The following is a 13,352-nucleotide window of genomic DNA, read 5'->3' as shown; positions in this document are numbered from 1 at the left end:
AGGGTATGATGTGAAATGTACTCCTGAGAATTAGGAGTAGATCCCTGAATTCTACACTGGGTCCTTATTATGGCCAGTAACCTGCCACAGTTCAACAAAGCAAAAAAATGTGAACTTTCTGAAGCCTTGAGGGAGTTCTCAAAGGACTTTGAAAGAGCAGTTAGATATCTTGATATTAGTGAATATAAACACAATTATTGATATTATCTGATTATTGTTGCTGTTTTCCATCTTGCTAGAGATCCCTATGAAACAAAAACATAAATCTGATGTATATATACAAAATTAAAATGCAGACATTAACAACAGGGATAGCATTTACTGTATTTCCCAGCAGTAAGCATTTTTTTTGGTAAAAATATTCCCTCATGCATGTTTGCAAAATATCAAGTCTTATAAGTGAAGATATAATAGATTATGGATTAGAATATGTATTTTAGTAGAACATATTATTGATTCTCATTATTCACCTTTGTAAGAAAGCTAACATTTCCAGCTAAACTACAAGACAAAGAAACTAATTAACAAAAATAGAAACACACTTAAGCTCTTAAGTAATATTTTATTGACAATATTTGGTGGTATTTGAGTATTGTCTAAAGGAGTATAATAATTTCTTTACCTGTGTAGTGTGAAGGTAACAGTCTTTCAGAACTATACTACAGACTACAGAGAATAAACAAGTAAAGGCAGAGGAAGAGAAAAAGTGAGAGATTGAATAGAAATAATTAAAAATAAAAGGGACATATAATTTAAAAGTTGATGATGAAGTCTGTTTAGCTCTATTCTCCCCATTCAATTCAAAACAAAGGAATACATTGTAAAATTAGCTATTTTCAGAATTTGACAAAAGGATGTAAAATTTGTTAAATCAAATAAGTGATGATTAAATGCTATCACATCATCATAGATATGTTTTACTTAATCATAGTCATTATTCATTTATGACTGAGTATTAAATGCTGTTAATTAATTCCTTAAATTTGCATTCTACTAATTATGCTTATATTTTGTTTTGTTTAATATTTATTCTTATTAAACATGTACCATTACCACCTGTCATAACTTTGAGAAAGTAAAGAATTGATTCATTGCATTACTTTTATTTTGTTTTATTTTATTTTTTGAGACAGGGTGTGGCTCTGCCCCCAGGCTGGAGTGCAGGGGTATAATCTCATCTTACTGCAACATCTGCCTCCTGGGCTCAAGTGATCCTCCCACCTTGGCCTCCCAAGTAGCTGAGACTACAGGTGCACACCAACTTGCTGGGCTAATTTTTAAATATCTATATAATTTTAGAGATTAGGTCCCATTATATTGCCCATTATATTGCCCAGACTAGTCTCAAACTCCTGGGCAACATACTTAGTCACCTTCAATCTTGGGCCTTAAAGTTAATTTTTATTTTCTTTCTATTTTTGTGAGATGGGGTCTCACTATATTGCCCAGGCTGGTCTCAAACTCCTGGGCTCAAGGGATCCTCCTACCTCAGCCTCTCAAAGTACTGAAATTACAGGTGTAAGCCATCATGCCTAGTTTAATTTCCATTTCCCTCATAAAATAATTAACATTGTAATTAATATTATGATAGTGTAGCTTTTTCTCTTTTTTTAGGATGGAGCTACCACTTTTGGAATCACTTGGTTAAGAATACAAATATTTTAATGTCTGTTTCATATTAGCAAATTGCTTTTTACAAGGGCTGTCTAATTAGACTCTCACCAACAGTATGGAATTTTGTTTCCTTTGGCAATTTCATTAATGAAAAATTGTTACCTCATGGTTGTTTAATTATTATTGTCTTAATTAACATATTTCTAAGGAACCATTTGCTCCTTATAGGTTTTAATTTGATACTGAGTATTTTCTCTGTTTTGTGAATCATTGCTTTATGATATTTCTCTGTATATCTAAGGAGTACTTTGGATGACTTGGGGACATTTAGAGATCCATGAGGCAAAACAGTTATCTCAAATTCTTATTTGATTATCTCAATGAAAAAAAGTCTCTATAAAAATTCATATAGATATAGCTCTTTGTAAATATGCATTGCAGGAGATAATTCCACTTCACTTCTAATCTAATAATTTATAAGTATACACAGAAATGTTGATCATATATGTGAGTATAGTTCTTTATGTTTGGGTTCATATTTTAATTTCTTTTGAATAAAGAAAGCTTCACACAACAGGACTATGAGACAGGCAGGACAGTGGGCATATGTTGTCATATTTACCTTTGAAGAAGACAGATTTTTTAAGTGGAAGCTTGTCAGTCAGTGATAAAGTTTATCATTTCAATAGGTGCTGTTGATTCTTTAAGAATGAGGACAAGGGGTCACTCTCCCCATTTAAGAGACACAAAACTATGCTGTTGCTCCGCAGTGCTGTTGTGTTGTGGCATAGTTCAGAAAAGGATGTGTTAGTAGCAAAATATTTGAAAGGAAAATGAAACATTTAGTCATCACTCAAAGTTGTTATTTTATCAGCGTAACAAGCAAGAACTTGTTTTACTAATGTGTTTTTAGCAGTGTCGCAGGGCTCGACTGGCATGCCATTCTGTACCCAAAACGTGCAGGAGGATTTTACATTTTCAAGGGTAAAGCATAAATAAAGATTTCGTTGTAAAATAATGTCTGGTATGCAGGGTGTTGCCCCCAAGCCAATCCCATCTCCTGAAAGTTTTAATTCATTCCTCCTACCCCCTTATGCATAGAGAGGAAAATCTATTTATGTATTCTTATTCATGGATCAACTTGCTTCATTTAGCATAATGACATTATTTAATTTTACCTCTGCTCAGTATTGTACTGGCAACCTTACCCATCCAAAACACACTGTCAAAAAATATTTTCAACAAAATTTTTTCTCCTTGTGTTATGAAATCTGATGACAAAAATTCCTAAAATAGACATATAAGTTTCTTTGGGAATTTTCATGCTAGAAATCACAGTTTAATATACTTGCATACTAGCATTCTAAAACTATGTGATTTAAGATTCTTTCTAAACAAATTCTGATGAATGTAGAACTTAACAACAATAACAACACAAAATACCACAGAAACAATCCTAACCAGATTTTCTAAAGTCTCATTAGAAAATGCCTTATAAAAAGTCTTCATTGAAATTTAATGAGCCTACATAAATTCTTATCTAATGTTGTAATTCATAGTTGCTATATGAAGAATTTTAAATATTTTCATTGAATTCCTTGAAAACATTTTATTTGTTATATTTAAGCAATGAATAAGCTACATACACACTTTGAATAGCTTTTCTAGAAGAGAAGACATCTAGGTAATCAAATAGTTTCATATATATTTCAATAGGTAGTGAGATACACAGGGTATTGTAGAAGAACATAGAAGTCTTTCAGGAAAATGAAATGCTTTAATAAGGAGTAAGGCAGGCCAAGAATGGGAGTAGTGGGGAAGCCTGCTGGGAACTATAAGAAGTTCCAGGAAGACGTAGAACAAAAGAGACAGTAACATGGACATAATGATGGGTAATTAGGGGTAGTTCAGTAATGTTGAAATGTAAAAATTGGCCAGAGATACTGGGAGTAGATGAAGCTGAATTGGGGGCTAAATCAGAGAGGATCATAAATGTCATATGTCATTTGACCAAGAACTTGTTATAGTTGTGAGGCAGATGATTAACATGGTCATATTTACATTTTAGATATGATATTCTGGAATAATGTGAAAAATTAATTTGGGGAGGTGATTGGAGGACAAATAATAGAGTCCAGAAACTAGAGACATGAAATAATCTACAGGAGAAAGATTAGGGGCCTGAAATAAACAAGTGGTGTTGGAAATGAAGCATGAGGGCACACACAGACCTATAAAATATCTGTAAGGTAAGAACTACAGAACTCAGTAACCAATCATGTGGCTACAGATGGAAGAGTTGGAGGAATCCAATGTAATTGCCAAGTTCTTTTGGAAGAAAGTGGGATGGTGCAAGCATCATCTGAATAGGGGAAACACAACTGGGAGTGATATACTGCATGTGCGATGTCATGGGAAACCACAACATTAGGCAATGAATGGGATGTGAGTATGGATCCCATGGTTCCTCAGTATTAATAGCTGCTTCATTTTTTATTCATACATAATTATAAACCTTTTTCTGAGCTGGACTTCTACACCACTTCCTGGCTGCCCTTACTCATGGTTTTGCAGTTACACTGTAAAGTCTGTGAGGATAGAAAGTGTCTCATTCACGTTTATTTTGACAATTAGCACAATTTTATGTTATTTCTGGCACTTAAACATATATTGAATCACTCTTTTCATTTGCTAGACATTGAGGTTACAAAGATGAAAAACAAGCAGGGTCTCTGCCCCTGAATGGCATACAACATCACTGTACAAACAGGCAAACATATAATTACTACTCTTGACACCTGTAATATTGGAAGGACCACAAGAGCAAGGAATAAGTAGCCATTGAATGGATCATGCAGAGTAGGACTGAGTGAGTGTTCTTAGGCTGACTTTACTATGCAAGACCCCATCAGACTGCTACCTCGAGATGTCCCTTTCTTTTCTTTCTTATTTTTCTTCTCCTTCTTTTTTTTTTTCTTTTTTTTTTGGCTAATCCATTAATCTGATCAAGATGCCACTTTCATTGCAAAAGGTAAATCCTGAGTGAGTAAGCTGCCTCATTCCTCCATACTATACAACAGCTCAAAAAAGTTTGAAGCTTTTTGCTCCATATAAGAGTTACAGCTGACACTATGGCTCAGTTATGCAATACCATATGAGAACCCAAATTTCTTTAAATTTTGTCCTCTCATGCCTTAGGTTTTGCCCTACTTGGCATGGTCAAAGCTTAATCGCTAGCACCTTGTCCCCATACTAGTCCATAGTGAAGGAGAAACTTAGTACATAGAGGGCAGAGAGTTTTCTTTTTATAAGACATTACTTTGAAATTGTCCACATAAATTCTACTCATTGTACCTTGCACAAATCATTCTCAAGATCAAAGGATGACATAAAGGATGCTGAAGAGCATAGGTTTTTAGCTTTGCTTCCATGTGTTCTGAAGAAAAGTGGAGGGCTTATTATCAAAAGAAATAAGGGGACAATAAGTAACCGTGTGTTACATTAGTTTCTATGCCATAAACACTTAATCATTATATCTAATAAAACCATTATTATCAGAAATTATATCACATCTATGATCTCCAATTGTTCATCTTATTATTTGACCCAGTAATTTTATTTTGCAGTTCACATATTCTTGCACTCCGGAGTACCATAGTTGTTCAGATATTCACGATCTTGAGCTCACAATTTTTTTCACTATTCATCAACTTCCTCTCTTTTTCTTGACCAGCTTAAAATTCCATGATCTGTTAATATAATCACAACATTGAAAATAGCCTTAATGCCCTTGTCTCCTTTTATGTAACAGAAACCCAATTGAGCCTGAACCCAATTATCCATCTCTTCTGGGCTTACATCTTAGACTTTAAATAATTCTTGTAAGAAGCTGATATAATTGACTTTACTTTAAATTCATGATCATAAATTTTATTCATGAAATTCGGAGGTCATTGCCAGGGCCTATGGTCAACAATACCAGACAGAGGTCCTACTGTATCTTTTTAGTAAGCTTTTACATTCCCACCCTCTAAGGTAAATAGATTATATTTTCTTTCTTCTCCTCATACCTCTTCTACACTCAAGATCGACACCTTAAACAATTTCAAGAGCTTCTTTAATAATCAAAATGATGTCTCTGAACCTTGAACACTCCCTTTTCTCACTCAACCTTGTGGCTAATGGCTTTATACTTCAAACATGAATTCCTTCATCTTTTTAAAACCAAACCTGTAAGTCAACATGCAGCTACCTGTTTCCCAAGTGGGAAATACCCCACCATCCAACAAAGGAAAGTGCAGGCCATGTGTTTTTACTAACATTTCCCAGAATCTTCACATTTATCCTTTCTAATGAGGCAATACCATTAGCATACACCATAAATTCTATTATGTCAGAATACACCTTCTATAAATATTTCTTTCTATCTGTATCATCCTCCAGATAGTGCTGATTTTTATCTCCTTCTCAAAAAGAAATTCTCTTAAAAGTGCCTCATACATCTTGACTCCTTTTAACAAATTCTCATTTATTCTTTAACACATTTTAAAACTTCTCCTTTGTTCTTCAACACAACCAAGTCTACTTTCAGTTTATATAACTTCACTGGGATGACAGCCTCTGATGATGTCCTTATTCACAAATTCAAATGACATTATTTGGTCATCATCCTCTTTGACGTTGTGAATACATAACAGAGTTTGACATTCTGTTCTTTCTTGAGATTATCTTCTCTCTTATAGTTTACTCTTTTGATTTGCCTCCAAATTATACATATTAAATCTCCTTGAAATATGGTCTTGACCTCCTGTCATATTTATTTGCATTCTCTAACTGGGAGAGATTCCCACATCTTTAAATAAAGCTACATGCTGCTATCTTGCAATTTTCCTTCTCTGACAAAGACCTCATTTGAGAAACCCAAATTTATAGAATTAACTGCTGTTTGGATACTTTGAGTAGAATACCTTAAGGGAAATTAAAAGTTAAATTATCCAAAACAAAACTCTTGATTAAAGCTCAACCTGATTTTCCCCCATTATTCCTCATTTAAAAAATAATGTATGATCGGCTGGGTGCAGTGGCTCATGCCTGTAATCCCAGCACTTTCAGAGGCCGAGAGGGGCGGATCACGAGGTCAGGAGATCGAGACCATCCTGGCTAACACGGTGAAACCTTGTCTCTACTAAAAATACCAAAAATTAGCCGGGCGTGGCGGCAGGTGCTTGTAGTCCCAGCTCCTCGGGAGGTTGAGGCAGGAGAATGGCGTGAACCCGGGAGGCGGAGCTTGCAGTGAGACGAGATGGCGCCACTGCACCCCAGCCTGGGCGAAAAAGTGAGACTCCGTCTCAAAATAATAATAGTAATAATAATAATAACTATAATAATAATAATAATAATGTATAGTTTACCCACTTACCATACCCATAAAACTGAGAGTTATTTTTGATATAATTCGCCTTTTGACACCGCATACCTTCTGTATTATCTTTCAGATTTATGGCACCATGAGGATTTTTAATATCTACCTTTGTAATATATTTCATATCTATGCATTTCTATCTTGGCTGCCACTAGCTTGGCTCCAGTCATTTCCATCTCTTTCTTAAGCTACTTTTAATCACTTACAAACTGATTTCCTCATTTCTTTTTTTTCACCTTCCATTCATTCTCTATAAATCAGTTTGAATATCCACTAACATATAAATCAGATCATCTTGTCCCTAAAGGTCTCCAAAGGCTTTCATTTGCAGTTGGAGCAAAATGTAAATCCCTTATGATGTTCCACAGGATTTTGCATAATCTGTCTTTTGTTTTCTTTTATAATCTTATCCCATACCACTCCCCCTCCATAGCTATACCCAATCACAGCCTGTCTTCAATTCTAGCACAAGTTTGACCCCCTCATGCATCAAGGGCCTATGTATTGGGGTTGTCTATATATTTCTGTCTGCCTATATGGTTTGGCCCTCAATTCTTCGGGGCTATTTTTTTATTATTTAGTTGTAAGCTCAATTAACAGTAAACTTTTTCCCAAACATTCTATCAAATATAGTCTCTCAGATGCTCACAGATATTCTCTATCATAGGATTTAGTGACTTTCTAGTATTATATGAAACTATATAATTATATGATTATTTTTACTGTTATTTATTTTTGTTTCCCACACTAGAATGTAAGCACCATTATTTTAATGTTGTTGCTGTTGGTTTTTTTTAAATCTTGTGCTGTCTTGTTCCATCTTGATAGCCCCAGGATAAGGACAGTGATTGGCACAGAGCAAGTTTTCAGTAAGTACTTGTTGACTAATTGAATGAATGTATATTTGATAAATAAGAGTACACTAAGTGGATAAAGGGAATGAAGTTTGCATTTTAAAATTAAACATCAAATATAAACTCATGAACATGGAATATCCTAAAACCTCAGGCAATTTAATATGTCTATAGGTAAGGGTTGGATATAAACAATGAAGGGCAAAACAGTCAAATTATTAAGAACATTGTACATTATGCTGATTTTTTGCTATTTTCATTAAGTTAGTGGCAATATTGGCTTTGATTTTTAGCTAGCTAACTATAAGAGCAATGCCAAAGATAGAAGGGGAAAATACATGCAGAAAGAAAGAATATTTAGAGTAATGAAATTATGTCCCTTATATGAGAAAAAATGAGAAAATAAACTGCAGGAGGAAAAGTTAGTCTACAGAGAATGGGAACTGCTAGATAAGTAGAAGAGACAGGATTTGGTGACAATTTGATAACGGAAGGGAGAGCACAGAAGCACCAAATATAATTCCCAGGTGTCTAATACCGATGACTGGCTTTTTACAATCCTCGGTTAAAGAAAGTAAATAAAAATAAAATGTGAACTGACCTTCCTTTAAGCTTCATATTGTTATGTCCTGGGTCTCATTTTGTGAGCAGTATTTAAAGAAGCAAGAAGAGTAGGGATGGTTTTGGGTAAAATTTGAAACTGAATTCCTTTACTTTGCTTCTCTTATATTACATTTTTTCTTAATTATTTTCAAAATATCAATTCTATCAATACTTAAATGCATTTTACTAAGTGAGATAAGCCAATCTAAACAGGCAATATTAATGCTATATGATTCCAACTATATGACATTCTAGAAAAAATAAAATTATGGAGACAGTAAAAAATCAGTATTTCTTAGGAATTAGCAAGTAGGGAGGGATGAGTAGGTGGAGCATAGAAGGTTTTCAGGACAGTGAAACTATTTTTTATGATACTATTTTAGCAAATAATTTCATTATCCATTTGTTAAATCCATAGATTGTACAACACCAAGAGTGAACCTGGGTCTACACTATGAACGTTGGTTGATCATGGTGTCAGTGTAGACTTATTGGTGTAACAAACGCACCAGTGTGGAGCTAAATGTTGATTGTGGGAGAATCTGTGGGGACAGTGTGTATATGTACTTCCTGCTCAATTTTGCTGTAAAAGTAGAACTGCTTTAAAAATAAAATTTGTTCTTTTTTAAAAAAATGATGCTTTGCTATTCTAGATCTTAAGCTAGATGATATATTTCTTAAAGCTACTGATATTGTATTAAAAGAGGTTGCTGAGATACTCAGTAGTGTATACCTGAAATCTGTTTTTATTGGCTACTTCTTGGTTTCTTTCATCTTAGGTGAAGATGACAACACAATGCAGAAGGAGAAACATGACATCATAAATTTTGACACCAAATTTTGATTTAAAATTGTAGTAATAGCCACAACAAATACTGCATAAACCTCAGATGTAGCAAATAAAAATGAGGTCCTTTCCTACCCTATGCTTGAAATATAGGAGCTTACTACATCTCTGAGTTCACATAGGCATCTCGGTCACGTATAAAAAACAGGCGCATGTGGCATGACTAAGTTATTAAATTATGAGTTAATAATTCTCTGAAATTATTTTTGCCTCTAGCTTTATACTAAATAATAAACATTATGTAAAAATTAGCATAACTCTAAGAGACAGTTAACCAAGTTCACTAAGCTTTCAGTTAAATTAATCAATTCTTTATATAATCCCCTGGAAAATTTAATTTTTTTTATTTTTATTTATTTTTTATTATATTTTAAGTTTTAGGGTACATGTGCACATTGTGCAGGTTAGTTACATACGTATACATGTGCCATGTTGGTGCGCTGCACCCACTAACTCGTCATCTAGCATTAGGTGTATCTCCCAATGCTATCCCTCCCCCCTGCCCCCACTCCACAACAGTCCCCAGAGTGTGATATTCCCCTTCCTGTGTCCATGTGATCTCATTGTTCAATTCCCACCTATGAGTGAGAATACGCGGTGTTTGGTTTTTTGTTCTTGCAATAGTTTACTGACAATAATGATTTCCAATTTCATCCATGTCCCTACAAAGGACATGAACTCATCATTTTTTATGGCTGCATAGTATTCCAGGGTGTATATGTGCCACATTTTCTTAATCCAGTCTATCATTGTTGGACATTTGGGTTGGTTCCAAGTCTTTGCTGTAGTGAATAATGCCGCAATAAACATACGTGTGCATGTGTCTTTATAGCAGCATGATTTATAGTCCTTTGGGTATATACCCAGTAATGGGATGGCTGGGTCAAATGGTATTTCTAGTTCTAGATCCCTGAGGAATCGCCACACTGACTTCCACAATGGTTGAACTAGTTTACAGTCCCACCAACAGTGTAAAAGTGTTCCTATTTCTCCACATCCTCACCAGCACCTTTTGTTTCCTGACTTTTTAATGATTGCCATTCTAACTAGTGTGAGATGATATCTCATTGTGGTTTTGATTTGCATTTCTCTGATGGCCAGTGATGATGAGCATTTTTTCATGTGTTTTTTGGCTCCATAAATGTCTTCTTTTGAGAAGTGTCTGTTCATGTCCTTTGCCCACTTTTTGATGGGGTTGTTTGTTTTTTTCTTGTAAATTTCTTTGAGTTCATTGTAGATTCTGGATATTAGCCCTTTGTCAGATGAGTAAGTTGCGAAAATTTTCTCCCATTTTGTAGGTTGCCTGTTCACTCTGATGGTAGTTTCTTTGGCTGTGCAGAAGCTCTTTAGTTTAATTAGATCCCATTTGTCAATTTTGGCTTTTGTTGCCATTGCTTTTGGTGTTTTAGACATGAAGTCCTTGCCCATGCCTATGTCCTGAATGGTAATGCCTAGGTTTTCTTCTAGGGTTTTTATGGTTTTAGGTCTAACGTTTAAGTCTTTAATCCATCTTGAATTGATTTTTGTATAAGGTGTAAGGAAGGGATCCAGTTTCAGCTTTCTAAATATGGCTAGCCAGTTTTCCCAGCACCATTTATTAAATAGGGAATCCTTTCCCCATTGCTTGTTTTTCTCAGGTTTGTCAAATATCAGATAGCTGTAGATATGTGGCATTATTTCTGAGGGCTCTGTTCTGTTCCATTGATCTATATCTCTGTTTTGGTACCAGTACCATGCTGTTTTGGTTACTGTAGCCTTGTAGTATAGTTTGAAGTCAGGTAGTGTGATGCCTTCAGCTTTGTTCTTTTGGCTTAGGATTGACTTGGTGATGCAGGCTCTTTTTTGGTTCCATATGAACTTTAAAGTAGTTTTTTCCAATTCTGTGAAGAAAGGCATTGGTAGCTGATGGGGATGGCATTGAATCTGTAAATTACCTTGGGCAGTATGGCCATTTTCACGATATTGATTCTTCCTACCCATGAGCATGGAATGTTCTTCCATTTGTTTGTATCCTCTTTTATTTCCTTGAGCAGTGGTTTGTAGTTCTCCTTGAAGAGGTCCTTCACATCCCTTGTAAGTTGGATTCCTAGGTATTTTATTCTCTTTGAAGCAATTGTGAATGGGAGTTCACTCATGATTTGGCTCTCTGTTTGTCTGTTGTTGGTGTATAAGAATGCTTGTGATTTTTGTACATTGATTTTGTATCCTGAGACTTTGCTGAAGTTGCTTATCAGCTTAAGGAGATTTTGGGCTGAGACAATGGGGTTTTCTAGATATACAATCATGTCATCGGCAAACAGAGACAATTTGATTTCCTCTTTTCCTAATTGAATACCCTTTATTTCCTTCTCCTGCCTAATTGCCCTGGCCAGAACTTCAAACACTATATTGAATAAGAGTGGTGAGAGAGGGCATCCCTGTCTTGTGCCAGTTTTCAAAGGGAATGCTTCCAGTTTTTGCCCATTCAGTATGATATTGGCTGTGGGTTTGTCATAGATAGCTCTTATTATTTTGAAATATGTCCCATCAATACCTAATTTATTGAGAGTTTTTAGCATGAAGGGTTGTTGAATTTTGTCAAAGGCTTTTTCTGCATCTATTGAGATAATCATGTGGTTTCTGTCTTTGGCTCTCTTTATATGCTGGATTACATTTATTGATTTGCGTATATTGCATCAGCCTTGCATCCCAGGGATGAAGCCCACTTATCATGGTGGATAGGCTTTTTGATGTGCTGCTGGATTCAGTTTGCCAGTATTTTATTGAGGATTTTTGCATCAATGTTCATCAAGGATATTGGTCTAAAATTCTCTTTTTTGGTTGTGTCTCTGCCCAGCTTTGGTATCAGAATGATGCTGGCCTCATAAAATGAGTTAGGGAGGATTCCCTCTTTTTCTATTGATTGGAATAGTTTCAGAAGGAATGGTACCAGTTCCTCCTTGAACCTCTGGTAGAATTCGGCTGTGAATCCATCTGGTCCTGGATTCTTTTTGGTTGGTAAGCTATTGATTATTGCCACAATTTCAGATCCTGTTATTGGTCTATTCAGAGATTCAACTTCTTCCTGGTTTAGTCTTGGGAGGGTGTATGTGTCAAGGAATTTATCCATTTCTTCTAGATTTTCTAGTTTATTTGCGTAGAGGTGTTTGTAATATTCTCTGATGGCAGTTTGTATTTCTGTGGGATCGGTGGTGATATCCCCTTTATCATTTTTTATTGCGTCTATTAGATTCTTCTCTCTTTTTTTCTTTATTAGTCTTGCTAGCAGTCTATCAATTTTGTTGATCCTTTCAAAAAACAAGCTCCTGGATTCATTAATTTTTTGAAGGGTTTTTTGTGTCTCTATTTCCTTCAGTTCTGCTCTGATTTTAGTTATTTGTTGACTTCTGCTAGCTTTTGAATGTGTTTGCTCTTGCTTTTCTAGTTCTTTTAATTGTGATGTTAGGGTGTCAATTTTGGATCTTTCCTGCTTTCTCTTGTGGGCGTTTAGTGCTATAAATTTCCCTCTACACACTGCTTTGAATGCATCCCAGAGATTCTGGTATGTTGTGTCTTTGTTCTCATTGGTTTCAAAGAACATCTTTATCTCTGCCTTCATTTCGTTATGTACCCAGTAGTCATTCAGGAGCAGTTTGTTCAGTTTCCATGAAGTTGAGCAGTGTTGAGTGAGATTCTTAATCCTGAGTTCTAGTTTGATTGCACTGTGGTCTGAGAGATAGTTTGTTATAATCTCTGTTCTTTCACATTTGCTGAGGAGAGCTTTACTTCCAAGTATGTGGTCAATTTTGGAATAGGTGTGGTGTGGTGCTGAAAAAAATGTATATTCTGTTGATTTGGGGTGGAGAATTCTGTAGATGTCTATTAGGTCCACTTGGTGCAGAGCTGAGTTCAATTCCTGGGTATCCTTGTTGACTTTCTGTCTTGTTGATCTGTCTAATGTTGACAGTGGGGTGTTAAAGTCTCCCATTATTAATGTGTGGGAGTCTAAGTCTCTTTGTAGGTCACTCAGGAC

The sequence above is a fragment of the Homo sapiens genome, chromosome 7 (genome assembly GCF_000001405.40).
Source record: "Homo sapiens chromosome 7, GRCh38.p14 Primary Assembly".
Lineage (NCBI taxonomy): Eukaryota > Metazoa > Chordata > Mammalia > Primates > Hominidae > Homo > Homo sapiens.
This window is presented reverse-complemented; position numbering follows the sequence as displayed.